This window comes from Homo sapiens, chromosome 10 (genome assembly GCF_000001405.40).
Source record: "Homo sapiens chromosome 10, GRCh38.p14 Primary Assembly".
Classification (NCBI taxonomy): domain Eukaryota; kingdom Metazoa; phylum Chordata; class Mammalia; order Primates; family Hominidae; genus Homo; species Homo sapiens.
The window spans coordinates 31,001,776-31,027,421 of record NC_000010.11 but is presented as its reverse complement, the minus strand read 5'-3'; the positions used below and the strand labels follow the sequence as shown (position 1 = coordinate 31,027,421).

Here is a 25,646-nt window from a genome sequence, read left to right as displayed (position 1 = left end):
ATAGTAAATAAAATTCAGATTCCTTTTAAAATTTACATTTGCACAAGCAAATTTTAAACTATTTTATGAGTACTTTTATATATATGAAGATTTATTGTTGAAAACAGTGTGTCTAGCCCAGTGATAGTACATACTGAGCATTTAAATATAATTCTTTTTTTAATTAAATTTATTTTTTAAATTATACTTTAAGTTCTAGGGTACATGAGCACAACATGCAGGTTTGTTACATATGTATACATGTCCCATGTTGGTGTGCTGCACCCATTAACTCGTCATTTACATTAGGTATGTCTCCTAATGCTATCCCTTCCCCCTCCCCCGACCCCACGACAGGCACTGGTATGTGATGGTCCCCACCCTGTGTCCAAGTGTTCTCATTGTTCAATTCCCACCTGTGAGTGAGAACATGTGGTGTGTGGTTTTCTGTCCTTGTGAAAGTTTGCTCAGAATGATGGTTTCCAGCTTCATCCATGTCTCTACAAAGGACATGAACTCATCCTTTTTTTATGGCTGCATAGTATTCCATGGTGTATATGTGCCACATTTTCTTAATCCAGTCTATCATTGATGGACATTTGGGTTGGTTCCAAGTCTTTGCTATTGTGAATAGTGCCACAATAAACATACGTGTGCATGTCTCTTTATGGCAGCATGATTTATAGTCCTTTGGGTATATACCCAGTCATGGGATGGCTGGGCCAAATGGTATTTCTAGTTCTAGATCCTTGAGGAATCGCCACACTGTCTTCCACAGTGTTTGAACTAGTTTACAGTCCCACCAACAATGTAAAAGTGTTCCTATTTCTCCACATCCTCTCCAGCACCTGTTGTTTCCTGACTTTTTAATGATCGCCAATCTAACTGGTGTGAAATGGTATCTCATTGTGGTTTTGATTTGCATTTCTCTGATGGCCAGTGATGATGAGCATTTTTTCATGTGTCTGTTGGCTGCATAAATGTCTTCTTTTGAGAAGTGTCTGTTCATATCCTTTGCACACTTGTTGATGGGGTTGTTTGATTTTTTCTTGTAAATTTGTTTAAGTTCTTTGTAGATTGTGGATATTAGCCCTTTGTCAGATGGGTAGATTGCAAAAATTTTCTCCCATTCTGTAGGTTGCCTGTTCACTCTTTATGGTAGTTTCTTTTGCTGTGCAGAAGCTCTTTAGTTTAATTAGATCCCATTTGTCAGTTTTGGCTTTTGTTGCCATTGCTTTTGGTGTTTTAGACATGAAGTCCTTGCCCATGCCTATGTCCTGAATGGTATTGCCTAGGTTTTCTTCCAGGGTTTTTATGGTTTTAGGTCTAACATGTAAGTCTTTAATCCATCTTGAATTAATTTTGGTATAAAGTGTAAGGAAGGAATCCAGTTTCAGCTTTCTCAATATGGCTAGCCAGTTTTCCCAGCACCGTTTATTAAATAGGGAATCCTTTCCCCATTTCTTGTTTTTGTCAAAATTCTACTTCTTGCAATCACTTTTATTTTTGCATTATTATCTTCAACTCATATATATTTGTAGTAGTAGCTGGATGCTTGTTTGTGTACTTTACACTCTAAATGTTTGAATATATTTAAATAATTTATATAAGTAGCACTTATTTTTGCTTCATTTCACATTTGGTTGCTTAAAAATTAAAATCTTTAGGTTTGATTTTAACACATTACACTAATGGCTAATAATTAGTAAGTCTAGGTGGAGACTAAGCTTTAGTGACAGGTTAACCAAGTTTTAACCCCAAAAGAACACCCAGAAGAAAATTCTTAGGGAATAGTAAGCAAAACCAGTATGTCGATGAAAGGAATAATTTAACCATAACTACGTAGCTATTATTCTTCAAGTTGTTACTATTCTACAGGGAGTATTTTCTTATTTGGTTCTTCAATTGCAAAGCTATTAATTTCAGTCTGCATTGCAAGCCACCAAGCAGTGTGAAATAAATACTGGAAGATGATACTGTGAAGAATCTGAACTCAGAATGATTTTTTACTTTCCAACACACTCTGGGGACATTTGGCAATGTCTAGAAAACATTTTTGGTTGTCACATTTGTGTGTGGGGACATTACTCCTAGCATCTAGTGGATTGAGGCCATTATAGCATGTCACTGAATGTCCCACAATGTACAAGACAACTTCTCAACAACAGAAAATTATCCAGTTCAAAATGTCAGTACTCCTGATGTTGAGAAATTCTGTAATATCTTTTCTTCCTTCACTCCCTCCTTCCTTCTGTTCCTCCTTTTTTATTTTTTTATTTTTTTGCTTTAGAAATGGAGGTGGTAGTTTTAAGTGGCAAATGCCTGACTTGGACAAAGGATTGTGTTGTACTGCTTTTAGTTTGTTGGATAGCTGAGCTAATTTGGTTCATTTACTGAATGGGAAATAATTCTTGGAGCTAATAATAGTAGCCTTGAATTTTTTTGGTTGCTAGTGTGTCTAGTGGTTTTGTATTTGTTTTTGGCTATGAATATTTTTCTTACTAAAATTAATTTAATCTGGACTTTATATAATCCTGGATTGTAACAGGTTTCCTAGTGTGAATTCCCTTTATTGTTGTATATGTTAAATTAGCTATTTCACAGTTTCATGGTTTATATCTGTCAAAATCCTTTTCACATTAATTTTCATTTTTGATTGTTACAAACAGCCCATAAAATGTGTAGGGCATGCATTATCCTCACTATTAGACCAATGAAGAAACAGACTTAGGTTAAATGACTTTCCATATGTGTTAATAAGTTAGTGATGAAAGCAAATCTAGAACTTTATACCTAGGAATCTTTTTTTTTTTTTGAGACAGAGTCTCGCTCTGTCGCTCAGGCTGGAGCGCAGTGGCGCGATCTTGGCTCACTGCAAGCTCCGCCTCCCGGGTTCACGCCATTCTCTTGCCTCAGCCTCCCTAGTAGCTAGGACTGCAGGCACCCGCCACCAAGCCCGGCTAATTTTTTGTATTTTTTTAGTAGAGGCGGGTTTTCACCGTGTTAGCCAGGATGGTCTCGATCTCCTGACCTCGTGATCCGCCCGCCTTCACCTCCCGAAGTGCTAGGATTACAGGCGTAAGCCACTGCGCTCGGCCGTACCTAGGAATCTTTTAAAGTTACCAGTTATTGTTATCCCATTTAATCTTCTTGACAATACTGTGAAATAGAGTTATTACTCTCATTTTATAGAAAAAGAAGTTGGTTTAGAGATATTAAATAACCTATTCAGTGCCACCCAACTCATAATGTAGTTTGGCTGTTTCCACTGAGCTATTCTGTGTCTTCAGATATTCTCCAATAAATAAATCTGACAATTTCTGGATAAATTCACAGAATCTTTGCCTAACTTAATTAGGTTTCTTGAAACTCATGTTGCCACTTGAATCATTGGTAATTCAGTGTTTGTAAGCCTATTCTAATTTGACTTAAGTAGAAACTTACCTGAGTTTTGGTAAACCATACTTGCTGGGTAGGGGAGAACCGTGCTTGCAGAAGACAGTCCTTTAAACAGGCAGAGACGTTTTTATGTAGGGTTTTGAGGAAGCACAGAGTTTGAGATTGGCTGATTTTGAAAAGTGCAAAAATTTAAGGATTAGCCAGCTTTAAACTTAGAGTTTAGAGACTGACCGGCTTTGAGGAGCAAAGGTACTGAAGCGGGGCAGTTGCTGATTGGCTTACTTTGTTGGCAAAGTGCTTAAGTGGAAAGGTTGAGTAGACTTTAAGGATGGATTGACTGGGGTAGATTTAAAACTGGTTTTGTGGTTACTTGTTTCCAGCTTAGGACTAGAGCCAAAGAACAATCTTTTCCTTTCTTGAAGTTGAAGAATACGTACTTTTTATGTCAAACATGTTGATGTTAGCTATGGCGCTAATATAACATACTTTTGATTTTGCTTTTCTTCTGAAACTTAAAAGAAAAATGGATGTACAAATATCACTTGTTTTCTGTCTATCAATTTCAGGACAATATATTTGGAACCCAGGCTGCCTCAAGGATTATTTTTATATGTAGTTCAAGAGGTAATATATTATTTGTGGAAATATATTAATGCTTTAAAAATTATGGTGAAGGCTGTGCTGTCTATGGTGAAGGTTATGTCTATTTTTTTTCTCTTTTGGGAGTGTGTTATATTATGTGCCTGCCACAATTAGTCTTGATAGATGCCGAATTATAGATCTAGAAGTCTGTTGTTTTTGCTGTTATTAGAGATACATCTAGAAGTGATTACTTTTTGAATGTTACTTGGAAAGTATTCTGATCAACATTATGAAAGATTAGTGATTATATTACATATATTTTATAGAACAAGGCAAGCAAAATATTTTAGTATTTGCAAATCATGTTACTATAATTATTAGATCATAGTACCATTTATATAAAGTATTAGGTTGGTGCAAAAGTAATTGCGGTTTTGGACCGTGAATTTTAAATCATTATAAGTCGGCTCAGACACGTCTTTATTAATCAGAGCAGGAAGCATTATAATCAACACATTTTTGCCAATGAGAAATAAGTTTGTTCATTCCTGTAGCTTAAAAATTCATGCTTTGGGATTTGGAAAGCATTTTCTGCTTTCCAAAAACCTGCTGGTTTTGGAAGCATTTTCCTTTCAAATAGTTGTCGAGATGCTTGAAGAAGTGGTGGTTGACAAGAGGTCAGGTGAATATGGCGGATGAGGCAAACTTCATAGCTCAATGCATTCAGCTTTCGAAGCGTTTGTTGTGTGTCGTGCGGTTGGGCATTGTCATGAAGAAGAATTGGGCCCTTTCTGTTGACCAACGCTGGCTGCAGGTGTTGCAGTTTTCAGTGCATCTCATTGATTTGCTGAGTGTACTTCTCAGATGTAATGGTTTCACCAGGATTCAGAAAGCTGTAGTGGGCCAGGTGTGGTGGCTCACGCCTGTAATCCCAGCACTTTGGGAGGCCGAGGTGGGTGGATCACCTGAGGTCAGGAGTTCGAGACCAGCCTGGCCAACATTGCGAAACCCTGTCTCTACTAAAAATACAAAATTGGCCAGGCATGGTGGTGTGCACCTGTAGTTCCAGCTACTTGAGAGGCTGAGGCAGGAGAATTGCTTGAACCTCGGAGGCAGAGGTTGCAGTGAGTTGAGATTGTACCACTGCATTCCAGCCTGGGTGACAGAGTGAGACTCCGTCTCAAAAAAAAGAAAAAAAAAAGGAAGAAAGCTGTAGTGGATCAGAGCGGCAGCAGGCCACCAAACAGTGACTATGACCTTTTTTTGGTGCAAGTTTGGTTTTGGGAAGTGCTTTGGAGCTTCTGGGTCCAGCCACTGAGCTGGTCGTTGCCAGTTGTCGTATAAAATCCACTTTTTGTCACACGTCACAATCCGATTGAGAAATGGTTCATTATTGTTGTGTAGTATAAGATGGCACTTCAAAATGACAATTTTAAAAAATTTTCCTTCAGGTCCTGAGGCACCCATTTATTGAGCTTTTTCAACTTTCCAATTTGCTTCAAATGCCAAACGACCGTAGAATGGTCAATGTTGAGTTCTTTGGCAGCTTCTCACTTAGCTGTAAGACGATCAACTTCAATGATTGCTCTCAATTGGTCATTTGTCAACTTCTGATGGCAGGCCAATGATGTTCCTCATTTTTGAGTCTCCTTTGCAAAACTTCTTGAACCACCACTGTATTGTGGTGTAGTTTTTGGTAGTATTTGTTAGTAGTTCCTAGGCCAAATGCGTTGTTGGTGTTGTGAGTTGTCTCTGCTGCTTTATGAACCATTTTGACCCCGAATAAGAAAATCGCTGGAATTTGCTATTTGTCTAACATCATTTCCATAGTCTAAAATAAATATAAAATAAACAGCAAATAATAAATCATTAAGAAAAAAAACAAAGTGAGAAATGTCCATTAAAATGATATATAGCATAACCACATTTATTTTAAGAATGTATTCCAATATCAAACGGCAAATTCCAACAATACAAAACCTGCAATGAACGTTTGCACCAACCCAATATTTCAGTTGTTTAACATTTATTTAGAATATTTTTCTTTTTCAGTATGAAATAAAGAACTACTGTACTATCTATAACTATTTACTCTGTGACAAAACATTTTTCTAAATTGATCTTTCACAGTAATATTTTAAATTATTATTTTCCTATGGAGATGTTAAAATAAATTTAGGGCATTCATTATCTTAGAAGTTATAGAAGTCAGAATGAGTTTTTGGTGTAATTTCTTTTTTGTATTGAAGTTTTATTTTTAAATGCCCTAAGTGCTGTCTGTATTTATGTATGTAATAAGTTCATAACATGTTAAAAAATGGATGCTGTTGTAAGCTGAGATTGCGCCACTGCACTCCAGCCTGGGTGACAGAGTGAGAGCCTGTCTCAAAAAAAAAAAAAAAAAAAAGTTGCTGTTGTTTTTATATGCAGCCCCTATTTCCTTCCTTAATCTACAGCTTTTGTGTCATACCTTCATTCCTGCCTTCCAGGTAGGAATAATCCAGTGGTAAAACTATGTGTGATTTAGATATTTTTATGGAAACACTCTTTGAAAATGTAAAGTCTGATTCTTGTCTCTGTTGACAGACCAAATTTCTGACCTGTATGATAGTTAACCTTAAGAGGTTAATCTTAGCCTAGTGTGAAAATTAATACTATAGTTAATATATTATAAAATTATTTATAATATAACATTAACATTATGAACAATAAGTAATATTGTTTTTGACAGAGCTGTTGTTTACTAAAAGATATTCAAACACTGTTATCTTTAACAGTTAAACTTTATAAATTTATACTAAGGAGAAATAAAAAAAATCCTTTTTATTTGGGAATGCAACCTCCTTTAAACCATCAGGCCCAGAAAGGAATTTAAAATGTAACAGCAGTCACATCTCATTCCCCCTAGAGCTAAATAATGACCTCTTCAAGCTGCTTGCTATTGGGGCTCCAGACTAACTGACGCCAAGTACCCATAAAATGCCATATACCCTGTAGTTCAACAACGTATATCCAATCACCAAGCAATGTTATTTTTGTAAACCAATGAGAATTTCTGATGAACAGCTTTTGTAATTGCCGCCTCTCCTGATTCGTCCTTTTTTTCTTTAAAAACTTGAGACTCTCTTTTGTTTTCTGGAGCACTCAGCTAGGCAACTTGGAAGTGTGTCCCTGGCTGCAGTCCTCAACCTTTGTGCTTGAATAAACTCTAAACTACAATCTCACCCTTTTGATTGTTTTAGGTTCACGCTAAATATGTACTTAAAATTCCTAGGAAAAAATTGATTCCTGAATATGGTTACTAGCATTATTCTTGTTATCTGCAGTATGAAATAAATGGATTTGAAATGTGTTTTTCTCTGTGTACATGCAGTGAATAGTTGGGCTCTTATTTGCCTAGTGATATGATAAAGAATCTTAGGTTAGGTTATCTTTTGTAGTAAAATGGAAAAAAAGAGTTACATGTTCTTCAATAAAAGCCTTATTTTCTAGTCTTTGCTGGTATAATGGGTAAAATGGTAGCTCAAATTTTAATTTGCATTTTTTTAATTACTAGTGAGTGAGAGTGAGATTCTCTTCATTTACTCGTATGGATTTCACTTACAGTTCCAAATTTAGCAAATAAAAATACAGATACCTTGTTAAGGTTGAGTTTCAGGTAAGCAACAAATAAATTTTTAGTGTAAGTATGGGCCATGCAATATGCAGGACACGCTTCTACAAAAAACAACAATTATTTATCTGAAATTAAGATTCAGTGGGGCATCCTGTATATTATCTGGCAAACTTAACTTCACTTTCTGTGAATTGTCTGCCTCTGCCTTTTTGTCAGATTTTCAGTTGCACTTTCTATCTTTTGGTTGTTGTTTTTGCAGCAGTTCTTGGCATACACTGGATTTTAATCCCTTGCCTTTTTAGATGTTGCAAACATATTCTTCCAGTCTTTTGCCTATCTTCTAATTTTGTCTGTGGTGTCCAATTCATCAAAGTTGACGCCATCAAAATTTTTCCATGTTTATGCTTTTGAGATCTTGAAGAAATCTTTCGTCATCCCAAGGTTGCAAATATGTTATTTAACTTTTTCTTTCATTAGCATTATAGTTTTAGCTTTTATACATTGGTTTTTAATACATTTGGTATTTATTTTATGGGAACAATATTAGGAGATGAGGTTAGAGAGGCAATGAAGGGGCACATTGTGTGAAGACTTGTCGGTCATTGTGAGGACTTTGGTTTTTATGCTAAGTGAAATAGGAAGCCCTGGAGGGTTTGGAACAGAGGGTGCCATTGTCTGAACCGTGCCTTTAAAGAAACTCTGATGACTATGGAGAATAGATTGTATGAGAGTGTGGCAAAGACTGCTAATTCTGCTCCAATATCTAATTCCTCCTTTCTTCTACTACCAGAACCCTGTTGGTTTAGCCAGATACATGGCTATGTACATAGAGACTGTTTTTAAACTCCTCCTGCCAATAAGTATGACTTTGTGATTAGATTTGGGCCAGTTAGATAAGAACACAAGTGATATGTGCAAATTCTGAGTTATCTTTGTAAATATAAGGTGCTTGTCCTGAACTTCGTCTGCCCACCCCTCTCCCTTTCCCCCTAACTGAAAGCAGCAGCAACTGGAATGGCAACAGTTACCTTGAACCTAAAGATCCCTCTGCCTAGGTTCCTGGATGACCTTGTGGAACAGAACCAATTACTACTCTTCATCTTCTCCCTGGCCATCTGCCTATCTCTCTCTTGTTTCAAGGAAGAGAATAAACTTTCTTGTTTTAGCCACTGGTTTTTGGCATCAGTTTATTACAGCAGTTTAGCCCATAGCCTGTATAGTACAAAAATTGGCGCCTGAAGTGGTGTTCCACAATTAAAAAGCTGAAATGTATAGCACTGGTTAAGTGGTTGGTCGACAGACAGTAGAAAACATGTTATAGGCTGGAAAACTGGTGACCCTTATTATGTGGTGGCAAAATGTTCAGTGAGACTGTCACCTCTAATAACTTGGAAGAGAGTTAATTTGTCTACCCAGTTTGTACCTCCAGGGAAGTAGTTAGAAAGAATCAGACTGTTAATATGAGTTGATTCGTCCTTGCCAGTAACTACAAGAGGGCATCAAATAAGAGAACGATTAGCCAGTTTGCAATTAGAGTTGAAAGGGAGTATAGTTTTTAGTTATAATATACAGCTAAAGGAGGTTCTCTCTGCCAATGGCCTGTGGTCTGAATTGACTGAGAGGCCAGTAATATGGGGCATTGCAGTGTTGGAAAAAATTGCTTCTCTGTGCCAAACAGCAAGAGGTAAGATAGTCATTCTCAGGAATCTCCTGTTAGATTTTCTTGGCCTGACAGTGGCAGACAGTCCAGGCAAGGTTCAAATTAAGGATTTGCTTTTCCACCTCAACCAGTCATTTGAACTATGTAAAAGCTTCAGTTATACATACAAAATCTCAGTTCCTTACAACAACAAAGGTTTATTTCTTACTCATGACATGTTAGCTGTGGCTGTGTTCCACATACTTTGTCACTTCATTATTTAAGCCAAAGGAATAAGCCTGTTTGGGACATTGCCATTCTTGTGACAGGCAAAAGAGATATGGCAGAACCAGTGTCTTGGAAGTGGTACGTGTTACTTTTGTTCATATTTTATTGGCCAAAGCAAGTCAAATGGCTAAGCCTGAAATCAGTCAGGTCAGAAGGATTATCTCAAGTCACATGGCCTGTCCTGATGTCAGTGGGTTGGAGTGGTATAATCCTCCTGATGTGAATCAGATAATCTCAAGGTAGCTAACCTTCAATCAAGAGAGGGTTGAAGAGAGGGAGCGATGGCTGCGTCACAGAGGCCAGCAGATAAAACAGGAGAGTTGACAAGCTTAATATCTATGACCAGATTAAATCCTTAGTTGTGGTTACTACTTTCTTGTGGAACTGACTGAGGCAAACAGACCTTTTGAAATTTTTAGGAGATTATGTTGCCAAAGATCCCATAAGTTTGGCTTGCAAAAGCCTCTGCTGGTTTGATATTGTTTGACACCTAAAGCAACCCTTGGTCCCAAATTTGCACCAGCAGGAAGTAGGCTATTAGATCTTTGCTGCCCTATTGGAGCATATACTCTTCCAAGTTTGTTTCATGTATGACCAGAAAGGATAATGGAAAAGAAAAAATCTTCCAAAGGCAAAGCCAAGACTGCCTGGACAAGGGTCTTCCCCTCAGAGAACAGAATCTGAAATGAACCAAGGGACTTGCCTTCTTGCTAGAGCAGAGATACTTTGCAATTCCTTTCTAGAAGTGTTTCATCATTGATAAAAATGTGTGTTTGCTATTCTTTTATTTTCAGAATGGAAGACTTAATTGCATTAATCTCATTTGTATTCCACAGTTGTATTTTGTGTGCGATGGTGGTGGTGGAGAGCAGAGGTTATACTCTTTTGTTAGTTTGCGAGCCGCTGGACTAGGAAGGAGCTACACGGATGTGAATGAGTTGAAGAGGGTTGTATATTGCCCAGAGACCTAGACCTTAAGCTAAATCCAGTAACTGGATGAGACTTCAAGTTATCCCTTTAGAAAGGAGATGACTATTTCAGAGTGGGAAGAAGGATGCACTCCCACCTTTGGTACGTATTTAGCTAGGCACATAACCCCTACAAAGAAATTGTATTTCTTACGCTCCTTGTAGCCAGATGAAGCCAGATTTCTAAGTTCTGGCCAGTGGGATGAGAGTGGAAGTGACATATGCTACTTTTAAAAACATATTTGTATTAAAAAAGAGGCTTGTTAGTCATATTCTTTTCCCTCCCATCCCCGTAAATGAAGCATTGGTGAGTTAGCTTCAATCATGCACCTGAGGGCAGTGCCCCAAGGAGTGGTAAGAGAAAACAGGAGGAATCTTAGTCTCTGGATGACCTTATAGAGCAAAGCTACTTACCTTTCCTTGACCACTTGTCTGCCTCTTGACTGTAACGTGAGAGAGAAATAAATTCTTTTTTTATCTGAGCCACTATATTGGTCTCATTACAGGAGTTTAGCTTATATCCTAGTTAATAGAGATGGTAATGATATAAGCAGGAATCAAATATAGAATGTTAGATTGGAAATTATTCTTGATTTTTTTCAGTTGAAGCTTTTCATTTATGTATTCTTTCTATGAAAATTTATTTTTCAGATTGTCTAATTGTACCAACACTTTAGAAATAAAGCTCTTACTTTAACATCACCCCTGTTATAATTATGCTATGTTTCTTTTTATTTTCATAAGCATGTGCTTTACATATTTATATTAAAATTTTATATCCTGATATTTTCATGTGATATCTATTTTCTTTCTTGCTTTAGAGTTCTTATATTTGCATGGTTATTATTGTATAACACTCAGTTTTACTGTACTTAAAATTTTATTATTATTGGTCACTGTGGACTAGTTATGTCCCCCCAAAATTCATATGTTGAGGCCCTAACCTTCCACATGACAGTATTGGAGATGTGGCCTTTAAGGAGGTGATTAAGGTTAAGTAAGGTCATAAGAATGGACCCCTGATCAGATAGAACTGGTGCCCCTATAAGGAGAGGAAGAGATACCAGAGCTCTCTTTTCACCTGTGTGAAGACACAGTAAGAGTACAGCCATCTGCTAGCAAGGAAGAGGGTCCTCATCAGAACTTGACAATGCCAGCGCCATGATCTTAGACTGCAGCCTCCAGAACTGTGAGGAAGTCCCAGTCATGGTATGTCATTATTGCAGCTGAAGTTGATAGTATATTGGCATTTAGATTGCTTTCAAGTTTTCCTTCTATAAATAATGCTGTTTTTTGTTTTTGTTTTTGAGACAGAGTCTCACTCTGCCACCCAGGCTGGAGTGCAGTGGCATGATCTCAGCTCACTGCAACCTCAGCCTCCCAGGTTCAAGCAATTCTCCTGTCTCAGCCTCCTGAGTAGCTGGGATTGCAGGCATACACCACTACGTCCGGCTAATTTTTGTATTTTTAGTAGAGACGGGGTTTCACCGTGTTGGCCAGGCTGGTCTTGAACTCCTGACCTCAGGTGATCTGCTTGCCTCTGCCTCCCAAAGTGCTGGGATGACAGGTGTGAGCCACCACGTCCGGCCATAATGCTGTATTCTTGTAAAAATTATTTATTTGTTGAATTATCTTACGTAGGACTCGATCTAGAATAATTTTATTTTATCACTGGTAATAATGACAGAAACAATATTGATAATAATAGTAATAACAATGGCAATCAGCAATGATGATTATAATAAAGACAGCTATGATAATGACAAGATCAATAACAGTAACAGACTGGGTATGGTAGCTCACGCCTGTAATCTCAGCACTTTCGGAAGCCGACGTGCTTTCGGAGGATCGCTTGAAGCCAGGTGTTCAAGACTAATCTGGGTAACATAGCAAGACCTTGTATCTACAAAAAAAGTTTTCTTTTAATTAACTGGGCATGGTGGCATATGCCTGTAGTCTCTGCTACTCAGGAGGCTGAAGTGGGGGGATGACTTCAGCTCAGGAGTTGGAGTTATGATCACACCACTGTACTCTAGCTTGGGTTACAGAGTGAGACTCTGTCTCTAAATAAATATATATATATATATATACACACACACACACACATACACACACATTTATATATAATTATAACAGTAAGAATGACATATTTATTGCATGTTTACTGTATGCAGGCACTGTTTTAAGCGTTTATCTTATTTGATCCTTACAACAGATTTATGTGGTAAGTACTGTTGCTCATGTTTTGTAGATAAGGCAAGTGAGGCACTGGGAGGTTGGGTACCTTCACCGTCATCACGCAGCTGATTAATGGTAAAGTGTAGATTCTCGCTAGGCTTTACTTGCCACAGAGCATGCTATGGACTGAATTGGATCCCCACCAAACTCATGTGGAAGCCCTAATCCTCCATGTTTATAGTAATTAGAGATGGGGCCTTTGATAGATAATTAGGTTTAGATGAGGGCCTGAAGGTGGGGCCCTCATGATGTGAATAGTGCGCTTATAAGAAGAGACACCAGAGAGCTTACTCTTGCTCTTCCGCTGCCATATGAGGACACAGTGGTAAGGTGGCTGTCTGCAAGCCCAGAAGTGGCCCTTATCAGAAAGCGACCATGCTGGCACCCTGATCTTGGACTTCTCAGCCTACAGAGCTGTGAGAGAATAAATTTCTGTTGTTTAAGCCACCCAGTTAAATTTCTGTTGTTGTGGTAGCTCAGACAAAGACAAAGCCTATGCTCCTAACTGTGACATGACATGATTAGAGGTTTTTTGTTTTTTTTCAGATCACACAGTCAGTATAGCAAATTGGACTGCAAAGAAGGGACCAAAAAAGTGGAAAGGACACCAAGAAAGAATAATGTTACTGAAGCCAAGAGACAAGCATTTTAAGATCAAGGATATCATTATTAAATTGATAACACTTTGAGGGAATTTTCATTTAAGAAGTCATCTGTGCTTTGGGAAGAGCAGTTTTGTGTTTGCAGTCCAGATTGCAGAGGGTTAAGTAGGAAATGATGTGGGGTAGGGGAGACAGTAAAAACAGTTTTAACTCTTTTTCGGACTTGGATGTGAAGGAAAAGAGGCAAATAGGAAGTGGCAAGAGAGACATAAAGTCTGGGGATGTATATTAGTTTGGTTCATTTTTTTAAATGAATCAAATGATGGGAGAAATGTAAGCATTTATGTGCAGCGGGGTAAAAGAAGAGAAGGAGAGATAGAAAATGTGGAGGGGGAAGTGGATAAATGATGGCATCAGATCCATAAGGAGGTGGATACCTTAAGTTGCAGATTAGCTTTGAGCGGGAAGTTTCTTTCCTGCATCTTCCTGGCACCTTCCTCCACAGTGCCAGGAAGGAGGGAAGAATGTGCGTGTGTTTGTTGGTCAGTGAGGGTGGAGGAAACTGAGGGAGTCTGACCTAATAACCCCTCTTTTGTTTCTGTGGAGGTGATGTCATTTTCTGAGTGAAGGGGGTGTAGGGAGCTTGAAAGTGGTGGACGTTTGGAATTGAATCTGTGGGACATCAGAGAGCCTGAGAGAGGATTGATGGCAGCAGTGAGAAGGGTCTGCTGAGGTGGGAGGCCATGTATTTGTGGAATTCCCAGCTTGTGCAGTTGGGGATTTTTTTTTTTTGAGACGGAGTCTCGCTCTGTCGCCCAGGCTGGAGTGCAGTGGCGGGATCTCGGCTCACTGCAAGCTCCGCCTCCCGGGTTCACGCCATTCTCCTGCCTCAGCCTCCCGAGTAGCTGGGACTACAGGCGCCCGCCACCGCGCGCGGCTAATTTTTTGTATTTTTAGTAGACACGGGGTTTCGCCGTTTTAGCCGGGATGGTCTCGATCTCCTGACCTCGTGATCCGCCCGCCTCGGCCTCCCAAAGTGCTGGGATTACAGGCGTGAGCCACCGCGCCCGGCCCAGTTGGGGATTTTTATAACAGTGATCTCTAGTCTGGGTATGGGACTAAAGAAGTAGACTCTTACATTGGTTTAGGGAGTGTATGTGGAAGGACAAGCCAGTAAGACAGTTGAGAATTTAGGCCAGGGAGTGAGAGGTTATTAGGTCAGATTCCCTCAGTTTACTTCACCCTCACTGGCCAATAACCACACACACATTCTTACCTCCTTTCTGGCATTGTTGGGGAAGAGGGTCCCTCTTTCTGGGAGATCAGATTCTGGGTTACAATGGATAAGAAGTGAAGCTTGGAGGATGGTTAATGGATTAGGAAAGATAGAGAGTGAAGTGGGAAAGAGAGAGTCAGGTGGAGAAAGACCAGAGCTTAACAGATTTAAGAACAGAGTTGGTGTATGCAGTCATTCCTTCAATAAATGTGTGTTGAGCATTTATCTTCTAGACACTGTTCTAGGTGCTATGGCCCCCTAGATCAAAACAGTGATCAAAACAAAATCTGCCCTTGTAGAGCTTAATTCCAATGGGGAGGTAGACGATTAACATATATTATGTGTATAAACATATACATACTTGTATGTATAATTTCAGATGGTAAGAAAATGTCAAAAAGAAAATGAGATTGGCCAGGCACTGTGGCTCATGCCTGTAATCCCAGCACTTTGGGAGGCCGAGGTGGGCGGATCACAAGGTCAGGAGATCGAGACCATCCTGGCTAACACTGTGAAACCCCATCTCTACTAAAAATACAAAAAATTAGCCGGGCGTGGTGGCGGGTGCCTGTAGTCCCAGCTACTTGGGAGGCTGAGGCAGGAGAATGGCGTGAACCCAGGAGGTGGAGCTTGCAGTGGAGCCAAGATCATGCCACTGCACTCCAGCCTGGGCGACAGAGCGAGACTCCATCTCAAAAAAAAAAAGAAAAAAAAAAAAGAAAATGAGATCAGGGAAGAGACTCTGAGAAGTGACCTCTGAGCAGAGACATGAGTGTTATCAGGGGCACAGCAATGCAGATGTCTGAGAGCATTCCAGGGCAAGGAAACAGCACATGTTTGTGCAAAGCCCTGGCAGGGGCTTGTATAAGGAACAGCCATGGCACTGGGGAGCGTGAGTGAGGAGGAGGACAGTGGTAATAAATTAGGGCCATGATACATTAGGGCCACTATAAGGACCTAGGATTCTATTCAAGGGTCGTGAAAAGCCGTTGAAAGTGTGAGTCAGAGACATAACATCTGTTTTACTTTTCTGAAGGCTCATACTGGCTGCTTTTTGGAGAGTTGATTGGCCATGGGCAATTAAGTAATCCAGAGAGGTAGAAGGACAAGAGATGGTGGTTCACAAATAACATATGGGAATTTGAGATTTCAGCAGTTGAGTGCTTCTGAGTGAGAATCTCGTTGCTATTCCTTTAAGCAGACACACCCACTCCACAATAGACGTTCTTTTCTGTGGATGAAGGCCTGACCCTGACCCTTGGCTTATACCGCACCCTTTCCTGTTTTTGACTCTCTTCCTCACCAGCTCCATTATTCATTCTCCCATTTTGTCCTCACCTTGTCTTTCATATCTGATGCACATTGTTGTCTTCCTGGCCAAGACTTCCTCTAGATCTAGGTTTTCAGACCTTTTATTCAGTCTGACTTCAGACTTCAGTCTGCAGAAAACTTTGATGGAAGCCCAGTGTGTCAGCCAGGGGAAACCGAGGGAAATGGGGGTCAGGAGTGCAGTGCTCTGCCCACTTGCAGTTGTACTCTGACCTCCAAAACAACTTTGAGACACCTTCTGAGAACCGTTAGCCTGCCAGCTCACAGTGTGGAAAAGCCCCACGTTGAACTGTTGCTCTTTTGCAGCAGCTCATCCCTGGGATCACCCCAGGCCATGCTCTCTCTGCTCAGCCTGTGCCTTCTTAATCCTCAGGCACCTGTTTTGCCTGACAGTGGTACGTGCACCCTCCCGTTACAAAGTGGTGTGCTGAGGGCACTCAGAACCATGAAGCATGCATGGTGCATCTTCCTGAGTGTTAATTTTCCTCACTGGCTATTATTTAATCCACTACATTTTTATAGTAAAAGTTAACATAGTTCTAATTATACACCATAGGTTCTGTCTGTCCTTCTCAACAAAATCTTTTTTTTTTTTTTTTTTTTTTTTTTTTTTCAAACAGGGTCTCACTTCGTTATCCAGGCTGGAGTGCAGTGGTGTAATAATAGCTCACTGCAGCCTTGAACTCCTGGGCACAAGTGATCCTCCTGCCTCAGTCATGCAAGAAAGTACCTAGAACTACAGATGTGTGCTACCGTGCCCAGCTAATTTTTAATTTTTTTTTTCTGGAGCAGGGTCTTGCTTTGTTGCCCAGGCTGATCTAAAACTCCTGGCCTCAAGCTGTCCTCCCTTCTCAGTCTCCCAAAGTGTTAGAAACACAGGCATGAGCCATTGTGTCTAGCCAACAAATTTTTTTAATGACCCTAATTAAACATGTTCAATTTTTTATGCCAAAAGAAAATAGATGTACTATAGTTTAGAATGTAACATTTGTGTACAATTTTTAAGGAAAAAAATAAGATCAAGAAATTTAAAGTTTCCATGGGCCACTTAGGGTTATGTCTTTAGTCTTCCCAGGATTATTTGGTCCCTCAGCTCTGAATTAGGACTACTTTGATGGAAAAGGTTAGAACTACCTATTTAAGTTGTCAGATTTGTAATTCTGTATTTTGGTTTTGTTCAGTGGAGCTATTATAACATTTTTATTCAGCATGGAATAGGAACTGGCCATGGGTTGGTCTCTGAATCATCAGGCTTTTCTGGTTAAAGGTAAACATATAAGTATTTTTTCTTTTAGCCATGTTTAATTTTGAAAAATGTCATTAAAGTAAGCATTGCTGCATTATAAAAATGATTGACAAGTCCGGGCACTGTGGCTCATTTCTGTAATACCAGCACTTTGGGAGGCCAAGGCAGGTGGATCACGAGGTCAGGAGTTCAAGACCAGCCTGGCCGATATGGTGAAACCCCATCTCTACTAAAAATACAAAAATTAGCCGGTTGTCATGGCAGGCACCTGTAATCCCAGCTACTCAGGAGGCTGAGGCAGGAGAATCGCTTGAACTTGGGAGGTGGAGGTTGCAGTGAGCCGAGATTGAGCCACTGCACTCCAGCCTGCTGGGTGACAGAGTGAGACTCCATCTCAAAAAAAAAAAAAAAAAAAAAGAATTGATAAGAACCAGGTGATGGCCTAGCTGTTGGAGCAGTACTCAAAAACAAGGTTGTCCTAGGCCACAAAGTAAGTTTGATGCTTTGCATTTAAAAAAAATAGGGTATCTTGTGTTAAGCTTTGTAATGCTTCCTCTGAGTTGAGAGTGAATCTTTAAGATAAAACATTTCTTTGTCAGGACTGTTTGCAACTAAGGAATTTAAGGTTGAGGGTTTTGCAGGATACTGCCAAATTATAAGACTAATGAGGGCAAGGATTGGATCATGTTCATGGATGCACGTGAGCTAGGAGTAGTGCAGCACCTCACATATAATACTTAGTATTTTTTGAGTGAAGGAATGAACTATCCTTGGTATAACTGTGGAAAATATTGTTAGGTTGTATAATAGATAGAGGATAGCTTCCCTGTATCTATTGAGTTGAACAAGGCAGCCTTCCTGGACGTGTTGTCACAATATTGCTATCAGTATATGGCTCTTTTAAATTAATGGAAGCAGAGGCACAGCTGTACGTTTTCTTTAAAAGAGTGCCAGTTATCAGGTCTGTTTAATCACATGCCAATTCTGTCTGCAAAATGGGGATAGCAACACACAATCTATCTAGTGCAAGTAGCTGCACTAAGGTTAGATGAGGTATACAGGGTAAGAGAAAATACTTGCAAATTATATATCTGATAACGGACTTATATCCACATTTATAAAGAACTCTTGCAGCTCAATATTAAAAAGACAAAAATACCCCATTAAAATGGGCAACGGATCTAAATAGACATTTCTCTAAGGAAGATTTATGAATGGCTGATAAGCACACGAAAAGATGCTCAACGTTGTCACTCATAGAGAGAAGCAAATCAAAACCACATAAGATACTACTTCATGCCCACTAGTTAGCTGTAATCAAAAGCAGATAACAAGTGTTAGTGAGGATGTGGAGTAATTGGACGCTCCATACATTGCTGGTAGGAATTTAAAATGGGCAGCCACTTTAGAAATAGCTTGGCAGTTCTTCAAAAGGTGTTACCCTATGTTACCTAGCAGTTTCACTCCTAGGTATCTGTGCAAGAGAAATGAAAACATACCTACATACAAAAACTTATACATAAATGCTAGTAACATTATTCCTAATAGCTAAACAGCGGAAACAACCTAGATATCTATCAGCTGATGAATATATAAACAAAATGTGGTACATCCATACAATGGAATATTATTCAGCATTAAAAGCATAAAGGAATAAAGTACTGACACATGCTATAACATAACAAAACATGCTAAGTGAAAGGATCAGACATAAAAGGCTATATGTTGTATGATTCCATTTATGTGAAATGTGCAAGGTAGGCCAATCCATAGGGACAGAAAGTAGATTTGTGAGCTGAGAGGGTTAGAGGAGGGAGATGGGGAATGACTACTAATGGATAGGGAGTTTCATTTTGGGATGATAAAAATGTTCTAAAGTTGCGGTGATTGTGGCACAACTCTGAATATACTAAAACCATGGAATTGTATATTTCAAAAGGGTAAATTGCATGGTATGTGAATTATACCTCAATGAAGCTGTTAAAAAAGAAGAAGTGAGGTAATATGTGGGAATATACTTTGAGCTGTTTGAAAAGATATTATTATTATTATTTCAATTTGACTGTAAGGCCATTAAATAAAAGCAGGATGACTTAGATATTTTTCCTTGCTTGCAGGCTTGTGATTTTTATGCCATGACTCAACTTTATAAGGCTGTAACTCAGCAATATAAAATATTGAAAATGTTGAAACATAAAATGAAAACTGCTTTGTCTACTGTTTATATTTAATAGGATTTTCTGAATCAGTTAATTAGCAATAAGTGAATGTGTCATTAAGAAATTAGATTTTAGAATCGTAAAGTTTTAGAGCTGGCAGAAACTTCAGAAGTCATCTAGTCCCCCCTCATTTTGCTTTATGAGAGAGCTGAGTCCTACAGAGACAAAGTAAGATGTCTTATGTCATGGCATTGAGTAAATTCTAGAACTGAGTCAGTGTTCTTTCTGCTGACTATTTGGTTTCAGTGCTATTAAGTGTGTTCTACTATTAATAGAACTAACACTCTTAATAGCTATTTAAATGCTTCCTATATACTAGGCACTCTCTGTTAGGTACTTTATATATGTTATCTTGGTTAATCTACACAAAGCTTATGAAGACAGTTCATTTTACCTGTGTATTAGTTTTGTATTGCTGCTGTAAAATAAAATGAAACAAACAAACAAAAAACAAAAGATCTGGCCGGGCGCGGTGGCTAACGCCTGTAATCCCAGCACTTTGGGAGGCCAAGGCGGGCAGATCACGAGGTCAGGAGATGGAGACCAGCCTGACCAACATGATGAAACCCTGTCTCAACTAAAAATACAAAAATTAGCAGGGCATGGTGGCGTGCACCTGTAATCCCAGCTACTCAGGAGGCTGAGACAGGAGAATCGCTTGAACCTGGAAGGTGGAGGTTGCAGTGAGCTGAGATCACGCCACTGCACTTCAGCCAGGGCAACAGTGTGAGACTCTGTCTCCAAAAAAAAAAAAAAAAAAAAAACACCAAAAAAACCTTTGTGACTTAAAACAACACAAATTTCTTATCTTACATTCTGGAAGTCAGGAGCCCAAAATGGACCTGACATCCTGTTAGCAGGGCTTCCCTTCTCCCTGAAGGCTTAGGGGAGGTCAATTTTCTTGTCTTTTCCAGCTTCTGGAGGCTGCCTGCATTCCTTCACTTTTAGTCTCTTTGCATCTTCAGAGACAGCAGTGGCTGGGCAAATCTTTCTCACAGTGCCATTTTTCTGGTTTTAATTCTTTTGTCCCTGCTTTCCCCTTTAAGAACCCTTGTGATTACTTTGGGCCCATCTGGATAATGCAGATACTCTCCTTATTTTAAGGCCCACTGATTACCAGCCTTAATTCTGTGTGCAACCTTCATTCCGCCTTACCAAATGAGTGGAAAAAACACACTCAAAATGGTTTTTTTTTTTCTATTAGCCAACAGCAATCAACACAGAAGACTTTTGTAATCACACGTGTGGGAGTTCCCCCCCCCGCCCCCCGCCAACCACACCAAGACATTTTGCAGCAGACACCACTCGGGTTGCCTTCAATTCAATGCTGACACCACCTGGAGAGAGTGTCAGATCCCATATCTTCAGGCCTCAGTCTCACAGCAAGTCTCAGGAGGCTCTACCTGTGCTTCTGACCAACCTGCTATAAATTGGGGTTCCCACAACCACCTCTTTGGGTTCATTTAATTTACTAGAGGGCTCACAGAACTTAGGAAAACACATCTACTGGTTTATTATAAAGGGTATTACAAAGGATGCAGATAGAGAGGTGCACAGGGCCAGGCATGTGGAAGGGGCAAGGAACTCCCTTGCCCTCCCTGGGTGTACCACCATTTGCGAACCTCCATGTGTTCAGCTATTTGAAAGCTCTCCAAACCCTGCCCTTTTGGGTTTCTATTTAAGCTTCATTGGGTAGGCATGATTGATTGAATCATTGGCTGTTGGTGATCAACTTAACTTTCAGACCCTTTCCCCTTCCTAGAGCTTGGAGGGTGTCACTGAACGTCCCAACCCTCTAATCAAGCTTTGGTCTTTCTAGTGTCCAGCCTCCATCCTGAAGCTACCCAGGGACTGCCAGCCATCAGTCACTCATTAGCATACAAAAGACATCACTTTGGAGATTCTAAGGATTTTAGCAGTTGTGTGCCAGGAAATGAGGATGTAGACCAGATATATATTTCACAATATCATACCATGTAATATAGGGTAGACAGAGATTCCAGGGAATAAGGGATGGACATCCTTTGAGGGAGGCAATATTCTGTGTACCACAATCTGTTAATAAGCTGAAGAGATTTAGGCTCAGAGAGATTAAGTAAGTTGTCCAAGGTCACAACATAATAAATGAAAGAGCTGATATTTTAACCCAGATCTGTTATTTATCATATATGCATATCTTTCACAATAACATGATCTTTCCCACAAATACCATTTGATCCTACTTAGGAAAAGTAAATAGGATGATGAGCATTGTTCAAATAGTAAATACCTATTTTTTTATTGTATATATTTAACGTATATGATGTTTTGATGTATACACACAGTGAAGTGGATACTACAGTCAAGCAAATTAACATCAGTCATCTCACATAGTTACTCTTTTTAGTGGCAGGAAAATCTCTTTTAGCAAAAATCTCAAATACAGTACAGTATTAACCATAGTCCTCATGTCATACATTAGACATCGAGACCCCTTTATCCTGCGTATCTGCAGCTTTGTATCCTTTGACCTACATCTTCACATTTTCTCCCCCGTCCACCCCTGTTTACCATCATTTTGTTCTCTAAGTATTCAACTTTCTTTTTCTTTTCTTTTTTTAAGATTCCACATATAAGTGAAATCATGCATTTTCTGTGTCTTGCCTATTTCACTCTGCATAATGTCTTCCACATTCATCCATGTGGTAGCAAATGGCAGGATCTCCTTTTTAAAGCTGAATAATATTCCATTTACGTACGTGCATGTACATATATATATACACACACACATATGTACACACACATAACTCACAGTTCATTCATCTGTTGACAGACACTTTGGTTGTTTCAATATCTTGGCTATTATTGTTTCTAAATCTTGGCTCATGCTACAGTGAACATGGGAGTGCAAGTATCTTTATGAGATGGTGATTTCATTTCCTTTGGATATCTACCCACTGGAGGAATTGCTGAGTCATATGGTAGTTGTATTTTTAATTTCCTTAGGAACCTCTGTATGGTTTTTCACAGTGGCCGCACTGATCTGCATTCCCACCAACAGTGTATGAGGTTTCTCTTTTTCACACCATCACCAACACTTGTTATCTCTGGTAACTTATTAAAGTAATAATCACATTTGCTTAATAATATCAAGAAATAGGCTATGTTATTATGAAACAGTTAAAAGCATATAGGAAGTTTATTTATTGATGTGGGAAAAGTATTTATGACTCATCATGACTTCCAGCCCCCTCCCCCACATTTCTACTTATCACTTCCTTTCTGTTACCAGTTCCTTCCTTATCCAGCCTAGATGCTTTGATTCAAATTATTTTCCGGCAAATTCTTTCAATTCCTTTGTACCTCTTTGGTCTCTCCAATCTCAGAACTGGATGAGCTCAACTACCTGCCAGTTTTTTCACTTTAATGATACGCTCAGCAGCCTTAAAATTGTCCAGCAGTCTTCCGACGTGTCTATTATCTCACTCCCTCACTCCTCACAGCATACTGCCTTCATTCTTCTCAAACCTTTTAACCCCCTATCAGTGTTATTTGATGTCTTAGCAGTTTTCCATGCAGTTGACCACAATTGACCATTGCTTCCTTTTGGAAACACTTGTCTCTTGGCCTTTGAGACAAACCCTTCCCTGGTTTTCCTTCTCCCATTCTAGTTGACCATTTTCTGTCTTCTGTGTTACCTGACATCTAAAAGAGGAAAGGTTTAGTTCTCTTGTTTTTCATCTTGTACTTTTGGTTAAATATAATCTTTTTGTGTAAGTCTTATTATCTCTAGCCCAGAGTTTGTCATCTTCAGCACTATTGACATTTTGGGCTGGAAAATTTTTTCAGTGTCAGGGGATGTCTTGTGGATTGTAGGATGCTTAGCAGCATCTCTGGCCTCTATGCTCTAACTGCCAATAGAGTTCCCTCTACCCTTATTGTGACAATCAAAATGTCTCCAGATATTGCCAGATGTCTCCTGGGTGCATAAAATCACCCCCCATTGAGAAGTACTTATGTAGCCTGAAGTTCTCTTCTGAGGATCTGGGGATAACACCTTTCTGACATCTCCACTTGAATGTCTCCTAGGCATTGCAAATTTAATGTGACCAAAATGGACTCTTGTTTTTTCTTCCATATATGCTCTCCCCCCAGATTTTCAGATTTTAGATTATTTATGATCTTGCATTGGAGGTACCAATAAAAGCCATTGGAGGCTTTTATTTGGAGTAAACTAGGGAGCCACCAGAGAGTTTTGGGCCAAGAAATGACATGATCTCACGTAGATCAGCTCTTTCTTGAGCATAGACTATGACTTGGAAGACTGAAAGCAGGAAGACCAGTTAAGAGGCTACTGTGGTAATCACAGTGAAAAATGGTAGTAGCTTGTATAAGGATGGTAGTAGGGCATATGATAAGGAGTGGCATCTTTAGTTTAGTGCTTAAACACAAATAGCCCTGAGAAGAATGCACTTGTACCTTCATGAGGTTAGTATCAGAGTATGCTTTGTTTTTCAGATGTTTTCTAAGAACTTGCAGGGAACAGGTTTTGGTGGGTCAGAATGAGAAGACAGTAGCCAAGTTCCTGGGTTCCTCCAAGCCAGAACTTCCTGGGATGTTACTTGAAGGGATTCAGGCCAGAACAGGGTTTTAAAACAAGGGACCCAACGGGAAGAGTAAGCAAGACATCCAATACTACCTGTTCTACCTCACAATCTTACTTAGGGCTGGTCCTCCCACGGTAAAACATGTACTGGGTGGCAGGGTAGATAGAACAATTGGAAGTCAGGAGTGTTTCCTTCATTAAATATAGGAAGCACATCATCTTGGGCTGGAAGGCCCTTAGCTGAAGTGAGGTGGCTATCGGCATTTGGGATGGGACAGGTTTTTGTTGTACAAGATTGCCCTACACATCTCAAGACTTGCAATAGTGTGCTCTCTCATTGTGACATCTAAAAAATGCCTCCCCACATTTCCAGACTCCCCATGGGAGTCAGACGTGTTCACCTGTATACCACTGGACTGAGCCCCCTTTGCTAATTTGAAAACTGCCTTCTGTAATAGGAAGTTAGTCAAAAGGCTATACATTCCAGGCCCTTAAAGAAAACCTGCATTACTTGTTTGGGGACTTAGAAGGTATCTACTAGTACTTTAAATTAGCATCTATGTTTATTGCTGATACATCCCATAAATGTTTTCTGTCCATGTTATGTACCTTAATATACTACTTTGTAATTCTTTTGTAGGGGTCATAGCCATTTCAGGGCCATCTCTAAAGACACTGCAAAGGACACATGCTCTAGCTGCTCTCTTCTCCGTATTGTTATATAAGGGAACCTGAATTAAAATGAATTAAGAGTTTGGATGAAAGGGCATTCCCTAGCCATCTTAGCAAAGGGAGTGGGAGTAGGATTGGAAGAGGGAGGATAATGGCCTGTATGTGAATGTTTATGCACATCATGTTTTTTAAATCAGGTCTAGCTAGTATCAAGAGCTAAATATTTTTTAATCGTATTTTTGAAAAGTAGTAGAAAATAGAACAATATTCAGATTTGTGAAGGATTGATGACTCAGTATTAGAGGGAAAACTCACCAAGGAAAAGATCTAATAGTTTTGAACATATAAAATGTAAGGTTTATTTACAATGAAAAAAATCACACAACACACTGGAGGAAATGCTTGTATCAAATGTGACTAAGGGTGAATATCTATAATATCTGAAGAGGAAGTTCTCTCGAACTTAATGAAGAAGTTTTAATACATAAGTAAACAAAGTATTTTAGCAGTTAATGATTAATAAAAAGGTGGGATTATGTTTACCGTCACTGGTAATCAAAGAAATGCCTTTTAAGTTAACCTTGAGTTATCTCTTCTATTCTTTCGAAAATACTGAAAATTAAAATAACTGACAATTCTGGAGAGGCTTTAAGGAAATGGACCCATTCAGTCTTATGTGTTTCTTGTGCTACTCCCAGCCACTGCCTTTCCCTGAACATGCTGTGCCATTTTAAATTCTTACGTCTCATCTTTATGAGTCCTTCCCCTCTTCTTTCTGTTGACTTTCCATCTCTTGAGAGCAGCATTCAGATCCTGGGGGCATCCCTTCTTACTCAGCCCTGCCAATGAGCACTCTGATTTGCATTCGGCACTGTATTGCAGCCATGGGTGTATGAATCAGTCCCTACCACTTGGCTGGGGAGTTCTTGAGGTTGGGACTGGTCAGGCCCTGCATCAGGGTCTGGTATACAAGTAATTATTCAATAACTATTGAACTAAATTATTGGA

General features: G+C 39.4%; 1 protein-coding gene across 41 annotated transcripts in view; it reads left to right on the top strand.

Annotated features, from left to right (window-relative positions):
- The window catches only part of ZNF438 (zinc finger protein 438), a 187,780-nt gene that overhangs the window by 4,990 nt on the left and 157,144 nt on the right, over positions 1-25,646 (top strand). The window contains exon 1 of one of the 41 annotated variants that reach the window (XM_017015870.3): positions 3,019-4,002. The exons of the other annotated variants lie outside the window; for them this stretch is intronic. The gene's annotated coding sequence lies outside the window, so the exon portion shown is untranslated. Of the gene's footprint in view, positions 1-3,018; positions 4,003-25,646 lie in introns of those variants that run through there. 41 annotated transcript variants of the gene reach the window in all.